This window comes from Homo sapiens, chromosome 10 (assembly GCF_000001405.40).
Source record: "Homo sapiens chromosome 10, GRCh38.p14 Primary Assembly".
In the NCBI taxonomy this organism is placed as follows: Eukaryota; Metazoa; Chordata; class Mammalia; order Primates; family Hominidae; genus Homo; species Homo sapiens.
The window spans coordinates 24,179,501-24,207,348 of record NC_000010.11 but is presented as its reverse complement, the minus strand read 5'-3'; the positions used below and the strand labels follow the sequence as shown (position 1 = coordinate 24,207,348).

At 44.2% G+C, this 27,848-nt stretch overlaps 1 protein-coding gene across 1 annotated transcript in view, besides 1 other annotated feature; it reads right to left on the bottom strand.

Moving 5' to 3' along the window:
- KIAA1217 overlaps window positions 1-27,848 on the bottom strand; it is an 853,117-nt gene that overhangs the window by 340,495 nt on the left and 484,774 nt on the right. The window lies entirely within an intron of this gene.
- Window positions 4,342-5,107: an enhancer, noted in NCBI's record as "H3K27ac-H3K4me1 hESC enhancer chr10:24491171-24491936 (GRCh37/hg19 assembly coordinates)". NCBI's record gives its function as "activates a minimal SCP1, AML or CMV promoter by ChIP-STARR-seq in naive H9 embryonic stem cells {active_cell/tissue: H9 hESC(naive)}" and the evidence as "EXISTENCE:reporter gene assay evidence [ECO:0000049][PMID:30033119]".

Below are 27,848 nucleotides of genomic sequence, written 5' to 3'. Positions count from 1 at the left end.
GGAAGAGTGGGGAGGAGGGTGGGAGAAAAGTATGTGTGTGTGTGTGTGTGTGTGTGTGTGTGTGTGAGAGAGAGAGAGAGAAACACTGTAGCAGGAGATGCAGCAGCCCAAATCAGATGTCCCGCAGCCTTTGGTTGTGACCCCAATCCCCTTGCTCTGGTGTCCAGAGAGCCCGTGCTTAACAGCTCCTACCTGTCATTTGGTGTAGCACAAAGGCAAAAACCCCAGGATGAAGGAGGCAGCAGAGGGCTGCCACAGCCGTTGGCAGCCACAAACAGCACCCTGCCCCAGGGCCCTCCTGGCTAGCTCAACCCAGGCAGAAAAGATCCATTGGCAGATGCTGATTAAGATTTCCTGGGGGCTGTTTGGAAGGTGTCAGAGCAGTCTTTCAGGCCTCTGTTGACCCCTAGATGGACAAAAATAGGGAAATGTCTCCCACCAGGTCTGAACTACCATTTTCCAGGCAGCCCAAGGAACCCCCTTGGTCAGCCGACCTTGCTTTCCAGCTGCTAGGACCCTCCCCTCCCCCATACGGGCCAAGCCCACTGCCCTCTCTGCTGATATTCCAGGAAACAAAACTCTGTGATATGCACAACAGAAAAAGGCATTGGGGGAAGAGAATTAACATGAATCATTAAGGATCATGAAACCTAGACATGTATTTATGGTAAAATAATGTTCTTTTGAATGATCAAACTTTCTGACCATTCTATAGGGAAAAGCTTCTATTGGATTACTTACTGGCCTTTTGTTCCTCCTTAAGAAGAGGAACTGAAAACAATTTGAGAAGGCACTCTATTTGCCCTTGCACCGACTATTCCATATCTTTCTCCAAAGCACAGAGACCTTCCTAACAATTTAGCACTGATTGTCAGTGTCTCTGGAAAACAGTAGCTGTATTCTGCAATCTATATAAACCTGGTAACTCCGATCTTCATGAAAATACTCTTATTGTCACTGCTGTTACTGTGGAGATGTTCTTCTTTCTGGAAGAAACACTATTTGAACTAGAAGTAGGTGTATTTCTTTCTGGTTTAATTTAATTTCTGGGCTTAAAAATTGCTATTACATTGCAATCTGCCTACTGCTATACTTTGAAATTTGCTGTGAAAGGCATAAGGAAAGCGGGAAGAACTTGAAATCTGATTTTCCTCCAGTCATATAAAGAACTAGAATAATAATAATACCAGGAGGCTAAGTTTTCAACTCCGTTTCTGTTAACAGGGAAAGGTGCAAGACTATTTCTTGGTTAGTGGTTCCATATGTTGCAATTCATGACTCAAAATGAGCTACCACATAAAACAAATGTCATTTAAAAGGAAAGACAAGTGACGAGATAAAAGAGTGCTGTAAAGACAAATGGTGATTTTGCAGTCATAGCTAACCCGTTACAGAACTGGACCATTATTGGTGTTGATAACGCAACGTAAATGGCATTCACCATAAAGAGAATTAATCACAAAAATCGTAAACAATTGCATATGATTTCTCAGCAGGCCAATTATAGGGTTGTGGAAAGCATGTCAACTTCCTTCATGTAAATTTTTCCTTTTTTCCTTCTTTCCTTTTTTTTTTTGAGACAGCATCTTGCTCTGTCACCCAGGCTGGAGTGCAGTGGCATGATCTCGGCTCACTGCAACCTCCACCTTCTGGGTTCAGGTGATTCTCCTGCCTCAGCCTCCCAAGTAGCTGGGACTACAGGCACATGCCACCACGCCCAGCTAACTTTTTGTATTTTTAGTAGAGATGGGGTTTCACCGTGTTAGTCAGAATGGTCTCGATCTCCTGACTTTGTGATCTGCCTGCCTCGGGCTCCCAAAGTGCTGGGACTACAAGCATGAGCCACCGCGCCCGGCATTTTTTCCTTTTTTTTGAGACGGAGTTTTGCTCTTGTCGCCCAGGCTGGAGTGCAATGGCGCGATCTCGGCTCACTGCAACCTCTGCCTCGAGGGTTCAAGCAATTGTCCCGCTTCAGCATCCTGAGTAGCTGGGATTACAGGCATGTGCCACCACGCCTGGCTTTTTTTTTTTTTTTTTTTTTTTTTTGTATTTTTAGTAGAGACGGGGTTTCACCACATTGGCCAGGCTGGTCTCGAACTCCTGACCGCAGGTAATTCGCCCACCTTGGCTTCCCAAAGTAATCACGCTGGGATTACAGGCGTGAGCCACTGTGCCTGGCCTATGTAAGTTTTTCAACAGAGAAATCATTGCAAGAACCAAGAGTAAGTGGAATTGCCCTGATACATATTTAATATTTTTTCACTTTAAATCCTATTAAGAACCAGATAGTTGAAAATGACTTGACATCAGGACACAAAAGAAATAATTAATGCTTGCTGAAGTCCTTAAAATGTACTTTTCAAAGGCATTCATAACTGTGAGAGTCAATTAAAACAAAGTGAAAAACAAAGAAGTCAACAAAAGTGTTTCAACCAGAGGCCTCGTGTTTGATGTGTTCCACATTAACTGTTTCTAAAAGACAGGCTGCTATGGTATGAGGCCCTGTAAGTCAGAAATAAAGGATTTTTAACAACTGGGATAACATTTGCTTAAATGGATGATCTGGCGCATGTGAAATGTGGGCTCTCCAATCCTAGTTTTGACAGCAATGTGTCAGGTGGTTAGGGTGACCTTATACTTAGTATAAACCAGCATTTGTGAGAGGGAAAGTAGACACTATTAATAATTACAACTGGACAATAAGACACCACGACTGTCCCTGGCAAACCAGCACAGATGGCCACCTATGTGTGATCCCAAGATAAGCCCTCTGGGCGCCTTAGGTTTCCAAATGTGAGGGGAACATAATGATACTGTTTGAGTTTCCCAACAAAGACCCTATAAAAGAATCTGAAACAATAATTAAAAAATAATTAATCTTAAACAATAATTAGAGCAAAGGTGTGAGCCTCACACGGACCGTATTACAAGCCCCACTAACAAACAATTTCGCAGATTCCATAGTATAATACATTTCTATATGACTCATAGATCAAAACAGAATTTTCCCTTCTGCGTTAAGAGCAACAATTTCACCAGGTAACCTCCAGCATTCTCTCCAGAGGGTAACCAATCTTCCCTTACTTAAAGTCCTTAAAATTCCAGTGGCTCCAAGGAGATCCTGCCAGACAATAAGTGAGGTGCCCAGGAGCCCCTCGCCACCCACCAACACTCAAATCTCCCTATGAAATGTCTTGGAACTCTCCTGCTACTCCACACAAATTCCTCATGTGGTCATATGATGTGAAACTACACATAGATCCAATGTGTTAATACTTTAAGCATATTTGCTTTCTTTTTAAGAGAACCCATTGATGTTGGTTTTTATTATGGTTTCTTTTATCTATTTTAAGTTGGAAGATAGATGCTGGGCAGCAAAGACCCCGTGTGCACAGCACTGTGGCCAGAGCTGGCATCTGTGCAGCATACCGTCTTGAAAGCCCCGCTCAGCTCTGCCCTCTGGTCACTGCAGACAAAGTCTGGATTCCAGGTGGCAACTTATAAGTGAAAAGTGTAACATGTATCTGCTCACCCCTTTTATCCCAGAGGGAGCAAAACCATGGCATATTTCCCAGAGTTCCTGAAGGGCCAGGGTGGAATCCACGAGAATATGAGAGCTTCTACAGATACAAGCACCTGGGTTGCTACCTTGCTTTACCCACAGTGCCTCATTATCAACCCTTTCAATAGAGTATTTGGGGGAAAGAGACTCTCCTGGCTTATTTTCTGCCCTTGAGCTTCTCCTCTGCCATTTCTCAAAGCTGCAGTGACCTGTGGAGGTGGGGGTTGGGGGGTAGGGGGAGCAAGAAGGAAGGGGAACCAATCAAGTTGCCAAAACTAGGATCATGGAGTACACTTCTCCCTGTTTCCCCCACCAACATCCCCCAACTTTGCTGCTGAACAAACTGACTCCTGGAGCATTCTCGAACGTGTGGCTCTCATCTCTCCCATCTTTCTCGTCTCCAGGGTCCTGTTCAGCCTTTGCTCTGTTATACTTGATGAATACCTTAGGATCTTTTATCCTCTTTTTTCACTACTGAAGTCCAAGGCAATTGTCCAAGGCGACCCCTCAATCATCAATATTATTTTTATTATTTTGCTAGATGGAAATGAAGAATAAAAGGGGAGGTATCTCTCTTCTTCTTCTTTCTTTTTTTTTTTTTTGACAAGTTTTTACTCCACCACCCAGGCTAGATTGCAGTGGTATGATCACAGCTCACTGCTTCAACTTCTTGGGCTCAATCAATCCTCTACCCTCAGCCTCCCAAGTAGCTGGGACTACAGGCACACTCCACCATGCCTGGCTAATTTTATATTTTTTTGTAGACATTAGGTCTCACTATGTTGCTCAGGCTGGTCTTGAACTCCTGGGCTCAAACAATCCTCCAGCCCTGGCCTCACAAAGTGTTGAGATTACTGTCATGAGCCACTGCCCCTGGCCCGGTATACCTATTTTCTAAAATTCCTCTTCTTTCAACTATAGAATTGGGTCTGGTATTATTTGGGGGGCATTGCTGTAAGAGCCCTAAGGCATCATGCAGTTCGGCCATAGATATTTATCAAAGTCTCCCTGCAGCTGGGCGCCTGCTCTAGTCACTGAGACCTCTAGTCTGTAAGCTAAGACTGTGATGCCAGGGACCTCCCTGGGGGGCAGGGCTTCCAGGAGGATGAGGCCAAAGATGGAAACCACCCTCAGAGCAGAGGAGACGTGGAGCTGCTAGGATAGGGGAAAGCGCCTGTGAGGGGAGCTTGGGAGCAAGGGTGCAACCAGAGCACAGCCTTTGGGCAACGGTGCTCATGAAGGCTTGGGGGCCGTGGTGCAGCCCAGGGTGGAGGGTGGAGGCTCCGAGAACAGGGCCCTGCAGGTCACCCTGATGCAGGAGAAGGAGAAGCCTGTGACTGGTGTCTTGGAGTCCTGGCAGGGATTGCCTGTGCCCAGGGAGTTTCCTGACCGCTCTCTCCCCTGAGCTTTGCTCTCCTCTCCCCCTACCTTTGGAATTCAGAGCTCCTCACCTTCCCTCCCAGGGCCAGCGAAACAAGTGAATTGCCCTGATCACTTTGATCACCTCTACTGGCTTCTCTGCCAAATAAACACTGAAATTGACTTTGTTTCAACAACGCAGCTAGTTTTATTTTGTTTTTGTTCCACTTTTTCATCAGTTCTCAGCCTCCGGTTGAGTGATGGCCATAGGCTTTAAGAGAAACAGAGACACAGATGTTACAGAATGAAAGGCGCAGTGCAAATACATTCACCTTTCCATGTCACCCCCGGGAGGCTGACAGTCCTGCAGCCACACCTGGAGCTGAGGGGGTCACCCAGCACCCGGGGCTGGGCCGCCTGCCTGCGTGCAGCCTGCACTCCCTCGGGGGTCTCAGAACACCAGGAAGAATTGGGAATGGGGTGCTGGATAGGAGGATCAGGGGTGATCAGGAGGTTGGGGGCGCTCGAGAGGGGTGTCCAGAGACTCAAAGGGCTCACTGTAGCCCCTGCTTTGCCCTGAGCCATGCCTCCAACTTCTTCAAGTGCCTCACCCTCGAGTTTATAGAATTCTTGAAAGCCAGTCACGTGCTTCAGAAGTTAAGTATTTTTACAGTGATTTTATTTTTCTCTCCCCACCTCAGTCCACAGAATTGAAGGTGGGGCGGAAGCAGAGGCGGGGTAGGGCAGGGTGGGGACTTCTGTTCCTTGCAGATGGAAAAACAGTTTTAATACAGAAGGACTAATTTCTGGAGCCAAGTGGGTAGAGGGGGTGCTGGCATGCAGGAGGTAGAGGAAGCCCTCCAGGATTTACAAAGTATTGATGGCTAAGCTTCTCTGCCCTAAGCCGAAGTGCATTTTGTGTTTCTCCCCAGGGCTGCTAGAGCTTAACATTCTTCATTTCCCAGATGACATCGTTTTGCTTTGTAAACACTCCCTTTTGCAAAATTTACAATCTCTGAACTGGACAATATTGAGTGGGATAAAATATTTAATGACTGGTTGGGCCAGGGTTTCCATAACACTATATTAGGAGCCTAATTTGTGTAACGCTTGAGTTCATAAAAGTAAAAAAGGTGCAACGAATTTTTTTGTTTTTTGAGATGGAGTTTTGCTCTGTCACCCAAGCTGGAGCACAGTCTTGGGAACTTGGCTCACTGCAACCTCCGCCTCCTGGGTTCAAGCAATTCTCCTGCCTCATCCTCCGTGGTAGCTGGGATTACAGGTGCGTGCCGCCACGTCTGGCTAATTTTTGTATTTTTGGTAGAGACAGGGTTTCACCATGTTGGCCAGACTGGTCTCGAACGCCTGACCTCAGGTGATCTACCCACCTCAGCCCCCTAAAGTGCCAGAATTACAGGTGTGAGCCATGGCACCCAGCTGCTGCAATGATTTTTAAAATTGTTTCTGCTTGCCCCCTACTGCCACCTCTCATCTGCACATACCTTCACCCAACATGTTCAGCAGCAGCACTGATACAAACTGGTGTGGAAAATGGACTACAGGACCTGATGATATTCCCAGGCTCACTCTGCTCACAGGCCCCTTCTGAGAAAGGCAGCTGGGGATGCTTCCTTTCATCACCCCCAAGCTTGACTGGTGCAATCAGTAGGCTCAGCTGGAAGAGCTCAGATGCTCCCCGGGTTGGACAAGGGACAAAGAGATCCAGTCAGATTTCCCCTCTTCTCCTTTACAGAATTCGAATATGAAATATATAGCGAAGGGATACAGGTGGCGTCACCAAACATCCCAGTTCACCTATGACTTTGGGTGTGGCCTGGTGCTGAAACTGGAAAAGTCCCAGGAAAACTGGGTTGAGTTGGTCACCCCAGATGCAGGCAGTATGGCAGGCGAAAGCTGAGGTGCACAAAGACAGCAAGCATAGCCAGGTGGTGCAGTGGCACAGTGGCTCAGTGGCATGGTGGCTTGGTGACTCTTGTCTGTAGTCTTAGCTACATGGGAGGCTGAGGTGGGAGGATCACTTCAGCCCAGAAGTTTGAGGCCAGCCCAGGCAACACAGCGAGACCTCATCTTTACAAAAATATTTTCAGAAAATTAGCCGGAAGCCCGGGAGTTTGAGAGTGCAGTGAGCTGATAGCTCCACTGCACTCTAGCCTAGGAAACAGCGAGGCCCCATCTCTTAAAAAAAAAAAAAAATTAAAAAATAATGAAAAAAGTGACAGCAACCAAAAGCCATGAGGCAACACAAACCAAAGAAAGAGAGAAAAGGAGAAAGAGAGAGATCAGCAGAGCAGACCGCGTAGCAGCAGGAGGTAGAGAAGGAAGCAGGAGTGGAGACATTGAAGCCTGGGCAGGGGTGCATGGGGGGGAAGGACAGTGTACTGTGGGTTTCCCAGAGTTTCTGTCAGCCTGATGCCACTACTGCTGTATCCTAAATGTTATCCTAAAATATGTATATAAATATATAAATAAAAATATATAAAATGTCTCCTAAATGCTGCTCAGGAGGCTTGGGAAAGCCATTTCCTGTTTTTCCTTACTTCCAAATATAAATAATAACCCAAGGTTCTTAGGTTATTAGTATGTCTATTTCTTGTCACCTGAGCCAGTCATAATCTATGAAAATCAGGACATTCACGTGGTCAGTTTACAGAATCACTTATGAAATAAAATAAATAATAAACACAGTTTGATTCATCTTTAAAAACAGACACATACACACACAGCTTTGTCTTATCTTTTCAAAGGTTTCAATTCCATAGTTAAAAATTGCCATTGGTTGCACATAAAACAGTCAACTGTAGGCTGAATTTGGGGAAAGAATAAAACCTGAAGAAAAGGAAACAGTGAAAATTACTTTGTTTCCCAAACTTCAACAATTTCTCTTCGGCTATAGTTTGAATGTCTGTCCCCGCCACAGCTCATGTTGAAACTTAATCACTAATGTGTGGCAATGTGGAAAGGTGGGGTCTTTAAGAGGTAATTGGGTCAAATTCTTACCATTTATATTAGTATTAACTTTATACTGACTTGCTTAAAATATTAAGCTTCCTCTCATCTATATTATTGTTAGATTCTGGGTTTGATAAAACAGTTGCATATTTTCTTACATCCTGTATAGTAAATATATAACTATTAAAATGTAAAATGTTTTGTTTATTTAATTCTTTTCTATTTTGAGAAAGGGTCTTTCTCTGTCACCCAGGCTGGGGTGCAGTGGTGCAATCACAGCTCACTGCAGCCCCAAACTCCTCCAAACTCCTGGGCTCAAGTGGTCCTCCCAACTCAGCCTCCTGAGTATCTGGGACTACAGGTGCACACCACCATGTCTGGCTAATTTTCTACAAATTTTTTATAGAAATGGGTTCTCACTATATTGCCCAAACTGGTCTTGAATTCCTTGCCTCACCTGGTCTTTCCACCTCAGCCTCCCATAGTGCTGGGATTGCAGGCGTGAGCCACCACACCTGGCTTGTTCATGTAATACTGAACATTGCCTCCTAAGGCCTAGTAGTTCGGAGAGTACTGCTTTAGGCCAAAGATGATCAATTCATCCATCTCGTTACTCACTCACACCTTCAGTTTTTCAAAAAACTATTAAGCCCCAGTTTGCCAGTGGTGGAGGCCAAGGATGTTGACATTGATCAGAGAAGCCGTAGATTTTTGAACATTTGTCGCACTTTCTTTGCTTATATGTGAGCCTCTTTCATGAGATTTATGAGGTCACCAAGGAGTAAGACTAGCTTTATTGTCTCTGAATCCCCATTTCCTACCACAGCCCGAGGCACACACAGATCCTGAGTAAATGCTTTTTTTTTTTTTTTTTCGAGATAAGAGCAGTGGCACGATCTTGGCTCACTGCAACCTCTGCCTCTCGGGTTCAAGCAATTCTCCTGCTTCAGCCATCCAAATAGCTGGGATTATAGGCCTGCACCACCACGCCTGGCTAATTTTTGTATTTTTAGTACAGATGGAGTTTTGCCGTGTTGGCCAGGCTGGTCTCAAACTCCTGACCTCAGGTGATCCACCCGCCTCAGCCTCCCAGAATGCTGGGATTACAGGCATGAGCCACCACGCCCACCCAGTATCCCAAACATTTCCATTTTATGTTGAGGTCAGAATCCGATTAATGAAATCCTGAACACCAAAGAGAATTAGCTGAAGAATTCTCTGTAGCTGAGAAGTGGGGAAGAGAAGGGCAGTAAGCTTCTGGAATCGGACAGAAATATTACCCACTGATAATGGGACTCTTTAAAACAACACAGACTCATAACATGTTTTGAATAATGGCATTCGGTCACATCAGGGTTACCTGGTTTACCAAGGAGAAAACTCATAAGCAACACAGCACAGAGGTGGATGCATATGTTTGGATATTCACTCAATAGGCTCACAGACCAATTCAGAGCACCTGCAAAACCCCAGGAGGGATGTGATAGGAAAGATGATGGAATGATGGTGGATGTGGCAGGACAACTATCCGTCCCATGCATTCCGCGCACCAGGACAGGTGTCAGGTCCATGCATTTCATGCACAAAAAGCTTGAACTGTGTCCTGCAAGCACCATGGAGTCATGAACAAGACAATAGCAGACTAAGGACATGATCAGATTTGTGTTTGAGATAAATCTGTGTGGAGAATGGATTTGAGAGAAGCAGGAAAAGAGATTACAATAAAGTTTCTGTTACAGTAATTCAGGAAAAAATATGTGAGATTTGAAACTAAGGGAATTATAAAGATAAAAAGAAGGCAAAGCTTTGAGAAATACTCAGGAAGTAAAATTGGCAGGATGTAGAAATTAAATTGCACATAGGGTAGTGGAAGTTGGGAGATGCTCCAGACTGCTGAACAAACTCAGGTTATGTTTCAACATTCCGCCTCAGTTCTTTTCCCTGATTGACTTTGGTCAGTGCTACCACAAATAGGCCCAACCCAACTATTTCCAAAACAAGTTCACTGCTCTAATAGGTTTCTGTTGGTACATTCTTTCAATGTCAGCAAGTCAGCATTGCACGTTCTAGAAACAGGGATGAAAATTCAACATTCTGCCAACACCATCTTTTTTCCATAAGTCAGAAATGGCTCCAGGCACATCACATGGCATTAATTTTGTACCATATGCAACTCTGATTGATTACTGGGTGCCGAATTATAAATAGTTGTCAAGAAGTCTAATGACCATTTATCAAAAAAGATGCTGAAACCGTGTATATATGAGTTATAAAGAAAGGATGTGGCAGGGATATTAGTTTAACTAAAAGGTCATTGGTTATATAGATCCCCTCACAGTTCTCAAATTTCTGCCTGTGCCTAGCTGTGTGTTCAGTTTGCTTTGGGTACAATTTCTAGAACTCTGTGCAAACTCTTTCGTTTAACTCCATATCGTAGTGAAGGATGTGAAGTGTAATGATGCTTAGCACCTGGCACGGTGCCTGGCATATAGTAGGCACTCCAGAAATATTTGTTGGGTAAATGAGTGTAAATAAAGGCAACCAACTCTAGGCAGATTCAATCCCCAGGGTGTGAAGCCAGATTTTCCCCTATTAGCCCAGGAGCCCCATAAAACAGCTGGAGGCTACAGGGGAGCAGCGCAGCATCTGCACCTCGGCCCTGTCTCTACGCACCGCTCAGACTGGTTTTGGGGCTTAGATATGCCTGGACCTTCACCTTCCTATGTATTTTATTATTACTTCACTTACTGCAGAGTTAGTGCAATGGAGAAGTCCAAGGGGACGCAACTGTCACCAGCAGGAACGCAAACCCCTGTTTAGGCATATGGCCACTAGGGGGCGAGAGAGTCAAAAGGCTGCATATGAACGTCAGCCTTGCCCTCTTCAAGGTGTAAACTTTTTCCTGAATTTCCAATGAAAGCATTCTTGGATTTCTTCTCCCTAATCATCCCCGATACTTGGTACAGCAAGAATCAGGAATCATAGTAATATTTTACCCCCAAGCAATTGTAAACATCCACTTTTGGCAATGCTTTTTGTTTTCTAATAAAAATGTAAACATGAAAACAGAAATCAGGAAAATTTCCCAAGATTGATTACTGTTTTGAGCTGCCTCCTGTGCAATTGCCTGGAAGCTGTGAGGCCCCAATGTGCTCCTTCCAGGCACTGTGACCAGAGACACTGCGCGTTGGGTGGGGTTGCCAGGGAAAACACAGGATGCCTAATTAATTCAAATCAGGTAACAATAAAGCCTTTAATGTAAGTATGCTCCAACTTGTGAGGGCAGTGTGTGTGTGTGTGTGTGTGTGTGTGTGTGTGTGTTTTGAGACAGGGTCTCACTCTGTCACCCCAGCTGGAGTGCAGTGGTGCAATCATACCTTGCTGCAGCCTTGAACTTCTGGGTTCAAGCAGTCCTCCTGCCTCAGCCTCCCACTAGCTGGAACTACAGGTGCACACCACCACACCTGGATAATTATGTAAAAAAAAATTTCTGTAGACATGGAATCTTGCTGTGCTGCCCAGAATAGTCTCAAACTGCTGGCCTCAAGCGATCCTCCTGCCTCAGCCTCCCACAGTGCTGGGATTACAGGCGTGAGCCACTGCGCCCAGCCAATACATATTTTTTCAATGACATAATCAGCAAAGCCCTAGTTCTTTGTAAAAACTAACAAAAACCAAAGCAAAACCTTTCCTAAGTTCCCTTTCTTAGCACATTTCACCTAAAAGATTTGCTCCTCAGTGGCTCTCCCCAGAGCCACTTCCTTTCCTGGCGGATTAAAAACAATTCTCATTCAGTATCTCGCTGTCATCAGATTTTCCCATATTCTGACTTTCCTGGGAGCATTTTCACATATTATCTTAGTGGCTCTGTTGCCCTCTGATTCCAACCTCCCTCTGTTCTTTTCTGGAGGTAGAAGTCCTGAAACAGAAACGCTTATCCCCAGTCCCAACAATTAATCCCCAAAGAACCTTCGAGACAGGGCAGGTTCATGGCTGCCTCGTCCACAAAAGCCCTGTTTTCTGGGTTCCTTGTCTTGGGCAACCTGCAGAGTCAGAGCCATCATTGAAGGATGATTTGGGCTTCAGCTGGAACAAGGAGAAATACTCCTGAGCCATCTCCTAATGGTTTTCTCGGTCAGGGTCTGGATTAAGAAGACATGGCATCTTGTAGCTGGAAATACAGGAAGCTTAATAAAAGGCACTGCAGAGTTTCCATGGGACTGGACAGGGTTTTGATCATACTTCCAGGGATGCTGCAGTCCAGGGACAGGGACTCTTACTTCTCCTAGGCCTGAAGGAGCAAGAGGAGAAAGCTCATTCCCCAGCCCAGAGAGAGAGTCAAGGGGAGGGTTGCCTGGAGGAATCTGCCTTCCCTGGAAGAATACAGCCCACCCAGGGTGGCCTGGCAGGGAGGGGACCAGGAGAGGAGGAAGACAGCCTCATTCTCCTCTTGGCCTCCAGCACTTGGAAGGAGCATGGAGGGATAAGACTGGGGACTTGTTATCCTCGTACAGAGAAGAACAGTCATATACAATAGAAATAAAGACACGGGCTGGACACTGTGGCTCATGCCTCTAATCCCAGTATTTTGGGAGGCCAAGGCTGGAGGATCACTTGAGGTCAGGAGTTTGAGAGACCAGCCTGACTAACATACTGAGACTCTTCTCTCTAAAAAAAAAAAAAAAAAAAAAAAAATTTAATTGGCTGGGTGTGACTATAGGTGGTGCATGCCTATAGTCCCAGCTACTGCAGAGGCTGAGGCAGGAGGATCGCTTGAGCCTGGCTGAGATGGGAAGATCATGGCTGCAATGAGCTGTGATCATGTCATTCCACTTCAGTCTGGTTGACAGAGCGAGACTGTCTCCAAAAACAACCCCCAAAACAAAGAAAAGAGGCTGCCTGTGCTAAGGACAAAGTGAGCTGTAGACACACCTGGTTTGGGAGTTCAGCAGAGTGAAAATAAAGGCCAGAGGTCAGGTGGAGTGGCAAGTGTCCGTAGTCCCAGTGACTTAGGAGGCTAAGGTGGGAGGATGGCTTGAGGCCAGGAGGTTGAGGTCTGCCTGGGCAACATAGCAAGGGGAAGGAAGGAAGGGATGAAGGAAGGGGAGTGGTGGGGTGGGGTAGGGGAGGGGAGGAGAGGGGAGAGGAGGGGAGGGGAGAGGAGGGGAGGGGAGAGGAGGGAAATGAAGGCCAAGATTGGTGGGAAAGGTTTCATAGGTTTGGTAATGTATTTATAGGCTCCTTGGAGATTATTTTTCATTTTTATTTTTTAAGATGGAGTCTCACTCTGTCACCCAGGCTGGAGTGCAGGGGTGTGATCTCAGCTCACTGCAACCTCTGCCTGCCGGGTTCAAGTGATTCTCATGCCTCAGCCTCCTGAGTAGCTGGGATTACAGGTGTGCGCCACCACATCTGGCTAAGTTTTGTATTTTTAGTAGAGATGGGGTTTCGCCATGTTGGCCAGGCTGGTCTCAAACTTCTGACCACAGGTGATCCATCCACCTAGACTTCCAAAGTGCTGGGGTTACAGGTGTGAACCACCGCACCTGGCCTATTTTAAATTATCTCCAAATGAAGAAACCAAAGTACATGAACATGCACGTGACTGCTTTGTGTGTGTGTGTGTGTGTGTGTGTGTGTGTGTGTGTGTGTGTGTAGAAAACGCTGCAGATGGAGTTCATACAAAAAAAAAAATCCTTGAGTACTGTGATCTGCTCTAACTGTCAAATGTTAAGAACTGAGCACTTTCCTCATTTACTGTTGACCCAGATGGAGTTATCTGGATTAGCGCAGTTCTGCATGGCGCAGCTCGTTTATTTCCTCAAGAAGAAACAATTTAAGCCATTGTTCATGTTCAGGTTAGATAGCAACAATTTAGAGAGTTCTCCCCCACAGATAAAGGAAGATAAGTATTATCTGACCTGACCATGGGGAAGATGAAGAAACATCTAACGCTGTGTTTATAGCTGAGCAGGACAGATCGCCAGAGATAGGACAGCAAAGACCCCATTGTCTACACAGGGCTACATTTGGATCAGGGAGGAACAGCTTCTGAAGCAGCTATTGAAATTGAACACTGGTATAACATCTTGTATCTGACTGTTGCTTCATAGCAAATTTTCTCTCCAGATAAGTCCGCAGGACTCCTATAAAATCAGAGTTATAAGATTTGTATCTTTACTGAGGGAACCTTAAGAAGCTAGAGCTTTTTAGCCATTAATAATGTAAGCTTAGGTTAGGTGTGGTGGCTCATGCCTGTTATCCCAGCACTTCAGGAGGGGGAGGCCGAGGTGGGAAGATCGCTCAAGCCCAGGAATTTAAGACTAGCCTGGGCAACATAGCAAGACCCCGTCTCTCAAAAAAATTTTTTTTAATTAACTGGGCATGGTGGCACATGCCCATAGTCCCAGTTACTCAGGAGGCTGAGATGGGAAGATTGCTTAAGCCCAGGAGTTTAAGACCAGCCTGTGCAACATAGCAAGACTCCATCTCTCCAAAAAGAAATTTAAAATTAACTGGGTGTGGTGGCACATGCCTGTAGTACCAGTTACTCAGGAGGCTGAGCAGGAAGATCGTTTGAGCCCAGGAGTCTGAGGCCACAGGGAGCTATGATTGCACTACCAGGCATTCCAGCTTGGGTGACAGAGTGAGATCCTGTCTCAAAAAGATAAATAAAGAAACACCAAATAACATAATCTTCCCAAGGTCTTGCTGTAAGCACCACCCCAGACATTGTAAATGTCACCTCTGGTCACACATGCAGAGTGAATTGGGTCCTGTGCATTTCTCCAAGCCCCTGAGGGACCTCAAGAGTCCTGGTGTGGGTGTGACCTCTAACTGAGGTTGGAGGGCCATCTCAGGGCCCCATGCCCTCTGTCCCAAATGTGCTTCTCTTAGAAGCCTGGGCTGTGAACAAATGGGATGTGATGAACTTAACCTTATGGGGATGACACTGGAAAACAAGGTCGCAATGATTGCTTTGATGGGGTCCAGAGCATACTACCCCCCAAATATGATACCTTGACATTGAGAAAACAGCAGAAGCAGGAAGGTTTCTTGCACCTTCCCCTTATCCTTTCCCCTTATCCTTTCCCACTGAAGCAGGTGGCAAGACCCTAATGTGAGAGATGCCCTCCCTATACCTGGAAGAAAGGAGCATCCTTGTCTCTGAAGACACAGGGACATAGAGAAGAATCTGAACAAAGAATCATCGCTGAGTCCCTAAGTTCATTACCATTAGATCACTTCCTTTTATCTTCTAATCATACTTCTGCGTGACTGTTCCGCTCTTCACCAGACGTATGCATAAACATACATACATTCACCTCTTTCTTTGGATCTTCCTTTCCAAAGGCTCTTGTGTTAACACCCAAAAGCTCTTGTGTCAACCCAAACTTACATTAAGTAAATCCGTGGTTGGGAGCAGTAGCTCACGCCTGTAATCCCAACACTTTGGGAGGCCAAGGAGGGGGATCACTTGAGGTCAGGGGTTCCAGACCAACACGGCAAAACTCTGTCTCTACTAAAAATACAAAAATTAGCCAGGTGTGGTGGTGCACACTTGTAGTCCCAGCTACTTGGGAGACTGAGGCATGAGAATTGCTTGAACCTGGGAGGTGGAGGTTGCAGTGAGTTGAGGTTGCGCCATTGCACTCCAGCCTGGGCAACAGAGCGAGACTCTGTCTCAAAAAATAAAAAGTAAATTTGTACACTTTTCTCTTGCTAATAAGTCCTTTGTTACACATGCCTCAACCATGAAGCTGGCAATGAAATCTGTTACCCACTACAGTTTCACTGCCTCCAGGCTTGATCCTATTCTGGGTTGCTTTTGCAAGAATTTTGTTTGTAAATTTTTAAATTTTTAATATTTGTGGGTACAGAATAGGTATATATATATATATATATTTGTGGGTACATGAGATGTGTTGATACAGGCATGCAGTGTGAAATAATCACATAATGGAGAAGGGGGGCACCATTTATCCTTTGTGTTACAAACAATGCATTTACACAAATGTACAATTAAGTTATTGTTGACTATAGTCACCCTATTGTACTATCAAATAGTATGTCTGATTTTTGCAGGTATTTCCAAACCTTATATAACTCTCCTGAATGGAGAACTTTCCTATTGTGCCTGTTAAATGTTTCTTATTCCTGACCAGATTAATAGTCAGGAATGCAGGTCTTTAAATCACATTAAATAGAGTAAAACTACATTATGAAAAAATTAGACAATGTGGTACAAGGTGACTGATCTTTTGTTTTTTATTTTTTTTGAGAGGAGTCTTACTCTATCACCCAGGATGAAGTGCAGCGCCACAGTCTCAGTTCACTGCAGCCACAACCTTCTGGGCTCAAGTCATCCTCCTACCTTAGCTTCCCATAGGTGTGCACCACCTTGCCCAGCTAATTTTTGTATTTTGTATACAGATGGGGTTGCACCATGTTGGCCAGGCTGGTCTTGAACTCCTGGGCTCAAATGATTCGCCAGCCTTGGCCTCCCAAAGTGCTGGGATTACAAGTGTGAGCCACCGAGCCCCGCCTCTGATCATTTTTTTTTAAGCATGACAAACCCATGTCCTGGTTATCCCTTTCCCTCCCTGGAATGATCTGCTCTTCAGAGCACTTAACTGATATGGATTATACATTTTCTTCTTATAGACTCTATCCATATGGTAGCTAATTGGAGAGCTCTGGCTGGCATTTCCTGGAGTAGGTGCCAAAGGATGGAAAGGTGTTAAGAAAATAACTGGTCAGCAGCCTGCCTTCCCTTAAACAGGATATCCTCCATGGCTCGTCCTAATTCTGGAACTCCTAGATAGCACTGGGTTCTCCCAGGAAATATGGGGGAATCTGTGGGTAGGAGAAACTTCTGGATTCCTTGTGTTTGTCAACCAGGGCAATCCTGCTGTGGGAAAGCCCTAACTTCTAAAGCCCACGGGAATTTAGGGCTGCTGACCATTCTACCATACGGTGAGCTCTGAGTCAAGGGAGGCTTGGGTTCAGCGCCTCACATAGAATAAGCTGTTTGGGGAAGTTCAGGCTTTCGAAGTAAGGATGAGAAATGGCTACCGCATGGGACCTGTAGGTAAAACCTCCTCCTGCTTTGCTGTTTTACTATTTCTGGGCATTGGGGTGCAAAACATGTTACCCCAAAATATGGTACCTTGCAGGTCACTAGCTTTGACTTTCCCCAGTCTTTCTGTTTAAGAGCCAGCCATAAAGGAATTCTCTGACCAACCTCCCCTGAAAATGGGCCATAAGATCCCTAAGTGACAGGTATCTTGCCTTATACCAAGGGGAAACGCCTGCCGCAAAGAGAGGTCAAGAAGAATCTGAACAAACAGGCCTTGCTAAGCTCCCCCTCAGTTTATTATCATTAGATCATACCCTTTGTATGTCCAATCATACTTTTTTTTTTTTTTTTTTAAATAGAGACAGAGTCTCACTCTGTCACCCAGGCTGGAGCACAGTGGTATGATCACAGCTCACTGCAGCCTTGAACTCCTTGGCTCAATCAATCTTCCTGCCACAGCCTCCTGAGTATCTGGGACTATAGGCATGCACCACTATACCCAGCTAATTTTTAAAATTTTCATTTTGTAGAGATGCGGTCTCACTAGGCTGCCCCGGCTGGTCTCAAACTCCCAGCCTCAAGCAATCCTCTCACCTTGGCCTCCCAAAGTCCTTGGGATTACAGGAGTGAGCCACTGCATTCAGCCTCCAATCATACTTGTACAAGACTGTCCATTCTTCATCAAACCAAACATAAAAACACGCAGTCTTCCCTAGGTCTTTGGATCTCCATTTCTGAAGGCTCCTGTGCCATGTAAAACTTACATTAAATCAATTTGTTTGCTTTTCTCTTGTTAATCTGTCTTTTGTTATAGGGTATCAGCCATGACCCTTGTGATGGGTGAGAAAAAGGTATTACTCTTTCTCCTCTGCATGGGTAAAAGTGTGTGCACATGTGTGTTTGGGGGGAAGATAAGGGATAGAAAAATATTTTAAATTATTGTATTAATTGTGGGAATTGTAGAGTTCTATACCAAGGCGACCAATCATTGTCTAGAATTGCTCCTCAGTTTCAGGGGCATATTTTCGAAGCATTTTTAGCCAAAATGATTTGGGGTCATCCTATGATCTCTGTGCTCCTTCGGCCAACCACTTAACAGTAGCAACAGCTATTTTGAATGAGTGTACACTTTATGTCAGGTTGCAGGTCAAGCGCTTTCAATGGTAGGATCATGTATTCCTCTCAACGACCTGATAAGGCTGGTACTATCATCATCCCCAGATTCCAGGTGAGGAATATGAAGCTTTCTTTTTCTTTTCTTTTTTTTTTTTTTGAGACAGAGTCTCGCTCTGTCACCCAGGCTGGAGTGCAGTGGCGTGATCTTGGCTCACTGCAAGCTCCATCTCCCGGGTTCACACCATTCTCCTGCCTCAGCTACCAGAGTAGCTGGGACTACAGGCACCTGCCACCACGCCCGGCTAATTTTCTCGTATTTTTAATAGAGACGGGGTTTCACCATGTTAGCCAGGATGGTCTCGATCTCCTGACCCCGCGATCTGCCCGCCTCGGCCTCCCAAAGTGCTGGGATTACAGGCGTGAGCCACTGCACCCGGCCGAGGAATATGAAGCTTTGACTCATCAATCATCAAGCCCATGGACATGAGGCTTGAGGAAAGTGTCCGGTCTCCTCCATGTTGGGAGGAATGAACTAACAAAGACGATTTCAATAGCTGACTCCTGAAAAAGGACAAACACGTTACACTTGATTCTTTAAGGCCCAACCTCCATCTTTCTTTCCCTACAGAAGAGAGATTCCATTTTAGTTAGAACAACACCAAGAATAAACTGAAATAGGCAGCAGCCTATTGAATACTGCAGAGAATGCTTGCAATTTCAATTTCAGTCAATTCCACATACAATAATCACTGAATCAGGTGTGTACCTCATACTGTGCCACAGGCTAGAGGTTCAAAGCTGGATATAAGGGACCCTTTTTTACATGTGATTTATCCCTGGCTGTGATCCTCTACCCCTGAGAATTCCCAGGGGCATGACAGAAAGTATTGGAAAGCTCATTAGTATTATGGCTTATGTTTTTGAGGCTTCACTTTTACTTGAGGTTTGGAGGTGGGATAAAGGAGTTAATTAATTGAAGAGCTAAGTCACTTAAAACACTACAAATAAACATATTTAAAACAAACACAGATATTATGGTGTTGGATAAAATTACTGCCTTCTTTTCTTTCTTTTTTTTTGCTCTGTCACCAGGGCTGGAGTGCAGTGGTGGGTTCTCGGCTCACTGCAAACTCTGCCTCCCAGGCTTGAGCGATTCTCCTGACTCAGCCTCCTGAGTAGCTGGGATTACAGGCGCTGCCACCATGCCTGGCTAATTTTTGTATTTTTTGTAGAGATGAAGTTTTGCCATATTGGCCAAGCTGGTCTCGAACTCCTGACCTCAAGTGATCTGCCTGCCTTGGCCTCCCAAAGTGCTGGGATTACAGGCATCAGCCACTGCACCCGGCCTATTGCCTTTTATCTTTTTTTTTTTGAGATGGAGTTTTGCTCTTGTTGCCCAGGCTGGAATGCAATGGTGCGATCTTGGCTCACTGCAACTTCCGCCTCCCGGGTTCAAGCGATTCTCCTGCCTCAGCCTCCTGAGTAGCTGGGATTATAGGCATGTGCCACTGTGCCTGGCTAATTTCGTTTTTTTAGTAGAGATGGGGTGTCTCCATGTTGGTCAGGCTGGTCTCGAACTCCTGCCCTCAGGTGATCCACCTGCCTCAGCCTCCCAAAGTGCTGGGATTATAGGCGTGAGACACTGCGCCTGGCCATTGCCTTATTTTCTGAGATAAAATGCTGGACTTCAAAGAAATTGAATGCAGGAGGCCCACCCCCTCAGGACTGCATGATGAATCTTCAAGTGTACTGGTTCTCTTTCTCTGCTGATAGTTATGATGTTTTATAACCAAGTGGAAATGAATTAAAAGTGCAGAACATATTAATGAGTGAAGGGAGATGGAGAAGTATAGAGCAGTGACATTTTTTGGAAGCCGGACCCTCTGAACTGAGAAAGGAAATAAATGACCTGGGAGGCAGCGAAGAGGGAGAAATTCTGAGCAGATTAATCACCATTAGCCCAGTCAGCTACAAAGGTTATATGAGCAAATACAAAAGAGAAAAGAATGAGAGAAAGGGAGGCAGCGGACCCAGGATGCTGTGACAAGCGACAAGACAGGAAGCTCATGTTAGGAAAAATTGAGTCAAAGATGGGGTCTATAATCAGGGTTTTCTGCAATTAGTTAATGAACAGCTCCGATGGACAATGGTCAGACTGGCAGACCAGGGCTGTACGGAGAGTCTCAAAGGCAGATCAATAAAACCATCGTAAAAATGAGGCACCGTTGGAAGAGGAGTAGAGCAGAAGAGATGATGCCGAAAAACATAGCCTGAGTCACAGAGAGTACATTTGAGGAAACTGAGTAAAATGAACTGGGGAAGAGAAAAGGGAATGAAAAATACTAGATTAAAATTTTTTCGTTTTGTTTTTTTTAGACGGAGTCTCACTCTGTCACCCAGGCTGGAGTGCAGTGCCACCGTCTTGGCCCACTGCAGCCTCTGCTTTCCAGGTTCAAGTGATTCTTATGCTTCAGCCTCCATGATAGCTGGGATTACAGGCACTCACCACCATGCTGGCTAATTTTTGCATTTTTAGTAAAGAAGGGATTTCACCATGTTGGCCAGGCTGGTCTTCAACTCCTGACCTCAGGTGATCTGCCCGCCTCAGCCTCTCAAAGTGGTGGGATTACAGGGGTGAGCCACTGTGCCTGGCCAGATTAAAAATGTATAGATGGGAGATACAACAAAGATCCCCCTTCTAAGTAACAGTTATCACTGGAGAAAACCAAGTAATTGGAAGAGGAAAAGGTATAATTATATCCAAAGATAATTCAAGACGTTTTATTGAAATAAAGGACATGAGTTGACACATGGAAATATAGGCTAAGAAAAAATGAGTACAGATCAAATAGTAAGTGACAAAAAAGTCAACTCTGGAAGGCAGTGGATAATAGACACAAAGTCTTCAGAGGTGTAAAGTATGACTCAAGAATTTTACTCACAACACTGTCATCCAAGTATAAAACCAGAGGATTTTCAAATTTAAATGCTCAGGAAAATAGTTCCCATGAGTCCTTTTGAGGAAATATTGGAAGTCCAAACCCCAGTCATCCAACAGAAAATTGAAAAAGTCAGGGCAAAAGGGCTGCTTTTAGGACTGAACCCACTTAGCACTAAAACTAAAAATAAGACAACCATAGAATGATGATTTCAGAACTTAAATTTTATGAGCAATGACCATTTAAAAATAATATTGCTAACATGTGTTGGGAAGGGGAGGAGAAGGGAAGGGAAGACAGAAATTAGAGTAAATATGTTGATTTTCCTCATTTTTCAAATGCAGAATCTTTTTTTTTTTTAATACAGAGCCTTGCTCTGTCACCAGGGCTGGAGTGTAGTGGTGGGATCTCAGCTCACTGCAACCTCTGCCTCCCAGGTTCCAGCGATTCTCCTGTCTCAGCCTCTTAGTAGCTGGGATTATAGGCACCTGCCACCACATTCCGCTAAGTTTTGCAATTTTTTTTTTTGAGACGGAATTTTGCTCTTGTCACTCAGGCTAGAGTGCAGTGGCGCCATCTCAGCTCACTGCAACCTCTGCCTCTTGGGTTCAAGCAATTCTCCTGCCTCAACCTCCCGAGTAGCTGCAATTAGGGGTGTAAGCCACCATGCTTGGCTAATTTTTGTAATTTTAGTAGAGATGGGTCTTCACCATGTTGGCCAGGCTGGTCTCGCACTCCTTACCACAAGTAATCCGTCCACCTCAGCCTCCCAAAGTGCTGGGATTACAGGCATGAGCCACCATACCTGGCCAAGAGTTGATTCTTTAAAGCTGGTAAATTAGGTAATAGTATGATTTAGTAGCCTTTGATTTTTAAAATCATGGGTATGGATTAATTCAAATAAATTAAAAGTAACAAAATAACAGATAGTTACAACAAAGGAAGAGTTCGAGGACTTGCAAGGAGATGCTGAAGCAAATGTCTTGGAGGAGATTCTCATTAAGCCTTAACCAACCAAACTGGAACTGAGTGGTGTCCTTGTATGTAACTGTAACCTACCCCAACTGGAATTCCTTATCCTGCAGGTTACCTGTGGGTTTTACTACTTATGTAGTAGAAGTGTGAAGACTCCCACAACAGAGACAGGTGGGTAAATGGTGATTCTGAGAGTTCCCTCTTTAGCAAAGAAGTTTCCCTTCTAGATGAGAGATTGGTGGAGAATAGAGACTAGTAAGAGCAGTCTCTTCTTAAGGGCATCCTATTTTATTTCAGATAGAACTTTTATTGATTAAAAAAAATTTCAGCCTATGCATCTCTTTCTCTTTTTACATACAGAAACATATATTTTATAAATGTCACACATACCTATATTAGATACCATACGTAATGAGAGAAATACATATTTTTTTCTGAGATAATATAGTTTTGTGTCCCTGTACCAACCAAGAGCAGAATTCTCCAGCGTGTCTGTGATTTCCAAGTATAAAGACCTCATCTGGTTTGAATGACCACCTATGGGGCCAGAGCCAAAAATCTGGCAGAAAGGAAAACTAGGAAAAGGGACAATCATGTGCTCCTGGTTTTGAATTGAATACTGCCAGTATTGCAGCCAGCTTTTCTGTTTCTCCTAGCCCTGCTCTGTTGACCAGTGACCTCCCCATGGGCTGGAATCCTGCTGCTGGACAGCAATCAGTGCATTGGGAGTTTCTTGAGGCCAAAATGGGGCTTTGGCCTCATGGGAAATCCTCCATAACATATACTTGAGGACTGTGCGCTTTGAAGGTGCTTAGTCTGTGTGGGTGATAGTCTGAAGGTGCTGCACAAATGATAGCTTATTTGCATTAGGAAAAGTTTTGGGCTTTCATAAACATCTCCTTATGAAAAGGATTTGCTGGGTATACTTTCAAAAAAAGATACTATCTAAAATGAACATCTGTTGCAACAGCTGTTCTTAAAAGCAGATTAAGGTACAACTGCCACATAAAGAGTGCAAAAGGGGAAATATCTTCCCATTTTACTCTGATGAAATTTAAAACCCCTCCCATTTATTATCCAGTGATTCCACTGGGATTCAGCCCATTTCAAGTCCCACAAATGAAAAACCACTTCTGTTTTAAACCATACGTACACATTCCACCCACCCTGGAAAGCTTGAGCTTTAAAAACAGCACATATCCCCAAGTCTTCACTCACTGGCTCTGTTGAAAGCTAAAGTGTTTGTCATTAAAAGTAAACACAAGAATAACCAAGAGGCAGCTGTCCTACTATAGATGGTGCTGTTTAAAGTGTGAGTGTCACTCAGAAAGGGGTGATTGTCCTTTGGGAGGGCTCAGGGGAGATATGTTTTTGTAAAGATGGTGAAGAATGCAGACACTGTGTTCTGTAAGAAATGTATTTGAGGGAATTGGGGATATTTAGTTTGCAGAAGAGAAGATTTGAAGAGACCTGGCAGTTGTCTTAATATATTTGAAAGGCTGTCATATAGCATATAGAATAGATTCCTTCTGTGTTGCTGTGAGGTGCAGAACCATTCCCCGAGGTAGACTAATTTTGATTCATTTTTAGGAAAGTTATTCAGTCTAACCAGATTTAGTGGGAATAAATGGTTGTTTCCTAAAATAGAGAGGGAGTTCCCCGCTGCTAAGAATAACCAAGAAGAGGCTAGTTGAGGATTGCTCAGGAATTGTGTGGAAGGATTTCTCATACTGGAATGCATGAGGACAACCAAAGGACCCACTTTTACATTCTATCATTCATGTTTAGTTTTAAAGCCTTTTGCATAATTTTCAAAACGCAGCAAATAATGATTTGGGGGAATTATTTTTAGGACACAGAGTAATTTAGCCCCACTGTCTTTTTTTCATTATTCTCTTTTCTGAAGATGAATGAGAAGCAGATGACTAACAGAAAGAGAGGAAGGACAATCAGAAGAAAAGAGGTAGAAGGAGAATCTGTAGCTTTCCATTATTTCCTCTTTTTTGGAAATTTGGCTATATCTGAATAGTTCTATGAAATGTGTCTTCATCCATTTTGTGTTGCTATAAAAGAGTACCTGAAACTGGGTAATTTATAGAGAAAAGAGGTTTATTTAGCTCATCATTCTGCAGTCTGGGAAGTTCAAGGGTATCACCTTGACTTCCGGTGAGGGCTATTGTGCTGCATCATACATGGTAGAGAAGGTCAAAGGTGAAGCAGACATGTGTGAAAAGAGAAAACCTGGGGGGTGTCCCAGCTTTATAGCAACCCGCTCTTGTGGGCACTAATTCAGTCCCTTCAGAACAAGAATTCATTCACTACGACAAGAATGGCACTAAGCCTTTCACAAGGGATCTGCATCTATGACCTAAACACCTCTCACTATATCCCATCTCCTAATGCCACCACATTGGGGATCACTTTTTAACATGCATTTTGGTGGGGAGAAACAAATCATGTTGAAACCATAGCCCCTTGCATAACTAGAGTGTATTGTTATCAAAGACCAACTGATTCTTGCAAATAATCTCCTAAAATCCCTCTCCAAACATGTTTACCAGGAGCACTACAATTTTAGTATAAAATGTTATAGTTCTGCTTTCACTTATTCTCTTCATGGGAGTTCTCTCATATCCTCAAGTATGTCTGAACTCACCCAAAACTGATTAATATACTACATTAAGCAAAATACAAATTGTGTTTATAGATTAACTTTAAAGAACATATGCCCCTACCCTTAGCTTACCCCCAACCAAAGGACCAACATAAATACAATCCATGCAAAGAGACTCATTGACTCAAATCACTTCATAACAAAACAAAATGAAGACAAACAAACAAACAAAGCCATCATAATCTCCTTGGAGAACACAGTCTGTGTGTGTGTGTGTGTGTGTGTGTGTGTGTGTGATGGAGTCTTGCTCTGTCATCCAGGTTGGAGTGCAGTGGTGCGATCTTGGCTCACTGCAGCCCTCCCCCCACCTCCCCGGGTTCAAGCGATACTCCTGCCTTAGCCTCCCGCGTAGCTGGCACTACAGGTGCACACCACCATGCCCAGCTAATTTTCGTATTTTTAGTAGAGACGGAGTTTCACTATGTTGGCCAGGCTGGTGTCAAACTCCTGGCCACAAGTGATCCGCCTGCCTCAGCCTCCCAAAGTGCTGGGATTACAGGCATAAGCCACTGCTTCCAGCCAACACAGTCATTTTTGAAGATGGATTAAAAAATATGGAACTATGAATTCAGTGCATCACTAAGCATCAAGTAAGAAAAAAGACACAAAGGGACCCTTTTGGTAGATAAACACATTTGTGGTCCTTTAACTGGATCCCACTCGTGCTCATCTAAATTCCACAATTCTCTCAAAGCCCCACTTAAAATTCCCCCTTTCCATGGGAAATATGAAAAAGAACAGGCATGTTCCACCTGAATGGTCTGTAGGTACTCCAAAACCTGTGTACCCGGAACTGAACTTTTGTCCTTAAAACCTGGTCCTCAGTGTTATATGGTTCCACAAAATGTTATTAAAACAAAAATCAGAGACATCCTTGACACTTCCCTTTCTCTCACCCAAAAAGGAATTAATGACTAAATTCCATCTAATCTATCTCCTAAGAATCATTTGAATCCATCCTACTACCACCAACCTGGACAAAACTATCATCTCCTTTCTCCTGGAATATTACATTATGTCCCTTAATTATTTTTCCAGGTACATTCTTGTTACCTTCTAGAACTGAAATAATCTGAATGACAAAATTGATCAGGCTGTTCTCCATCAGTTGTTTCCTACTACATTTGGTAAGTTCCAAACTCCTTATCATGGCCTCAAAGCCCCCCATAATCCAGCCATGCATTACCTTGCTAGCTCTTCTTCCTATTACTTTTCTCCTTTGACTTGGAGACTCAAGTTAGGTTGATCTTGTCTGCTGTCCCTCCAAAGAAGAGGGCATGCTCTTTCCCACCTCAGAGCCTTTCTACAGGTAATTCCTTTGGCCTTTCATCCTTCCCCCTCTCACTTCATCTAGCCAGGTCCTACTTCTCTTTAGGTCTCAACTCCATATCCTCTGGGAAATATTCCCTGATACCTGCACTTGCCAGATTAGGTTCCCCTCTCAGATATTTCCACAGGTCTTTACATCTCACCTTTGTAACCGACATCATATCTTAAGTCCTTGTTCATTGTCTGTCTTCCAAACTAAATAAGAAATTCCAAGATAACAGGGACCATGTCTGCCAGACTCACTACTGTATCCCAGGTAACCAGCTCCTAACGTGTGCTCAAATAGTTGTTGCATGGATAAATGAATGAGTAACATGTGCTGTCTATATCAATGATTCATAAACTTCACTATACAGAGGAATCATTTGGGAAGTCAATTTAGCTGATCCATAATCAGTATCAGGACCCTACCTTTTCAACAACAATAGGGGATGAATTTTGACTCAGACTGTTCTTGACTCACACTTTGGAAAGCAATACTCCAGGATTACAGACATGAGCAAGAGAGAGAAGCTGAGGTTAAAGAGACAAAAGGGAGCAAAATGTGAGAAGTTAAATAACAATAGAAGACTCACATAACTTAAAACAACACAACCACAGGACTAAATGACAGATTGTCAAATTAATTCCTCAGACAATGATATGTGTCTTCAAAACATTTGGAAGGAAAAGCCACTTGATATAGCTGGAGGTCTGGGGAGACACTGAAATAGGAAAACAAATTTGAACTTGAGTTGAAGGATGGGTAAGGTTGGGAAGGAGAAGAGGAAAGGAAATGGTATTACAGAGAGATGAGTATGAGTATATGAGTTCAGAGGAGGAAAATCGTAGAGCAAGACAGGCAGAATTTTGCCAACATGGTGAAACCACATCTCTATTAAAAATATAAAAACTAGCCAGGTATAGTGGCATGCACCTTTAATCCCAGATACTCAGGAGGCTGAGGCAGGAGAATTGCTTGAACTCAGGAGGTGGAGGTTGCAGTGAGCTGAGATTGTGCCACTGCACTCTAGCCTGGGTGACAGAGCGAGACCCTGTCTCAAAAAAAAAAAAAAAAAAAAAAAAGAAGGTTGAGGAGTTGAGGATATAGCTGGAAAGATAGGGAAGGACCTGACTGTAGAGGTCCTCAAAGTTAATGAAGGTGAGCAGAATAAGCCACCTTAAAAGAAGCCACTTTGGCATAAGGATTTTTCTGAGTCAAAGGCAATAGAGAAACAGCAGATACAGAAGGAACTCTCTGCCACCCCTATTTTTGCCTAAAAGCAGGGGATAAATTTCATACCAGGAAAAGGAGATAACTCTTATCACTGAAGATTGTAATAACTTGAGTCTGCATAATAAAACTGATTAAATAATCCACATCTTCCACTAGTTTCCTCCATATACTTACTTTCCTACAATTTGTTGCACATAGAAGCTGTATTAGTCTGTTCTTGCACTACTATAAAGAAATTCCTAGACCAGGCATGGTGGCTCATGCCTGCAATCCCAGCACTTTGGGAAGCTGACACAGGCGGATCACTTGAGGTCAGGAGTTCAAGACCAGCCTGGCCAACATGGTGAAACCTCATCCACTAAAAATACAAAAAATTAGCCGGATGTGGTGGCACATGCCTGTAGTCCCAGCTACTTGGGTGGCTGAGGGACAAGAATCACTTGAACCCGGGAGGTGGAAGTTGCAGTGAGCTGAGATGGAACCACTGCACCCCAGCCTGGGTGACAGAGTGAGACTCCATCTCAGAAAAAAAAAGAAAAGAAAGAAAGAATTTCCTGAAACTGGGCAATTTAAAGGGAGAAGAGGTTTAATTGGCTCCTGGTTTTGCAGGCTATACAGGAAGCATGGCT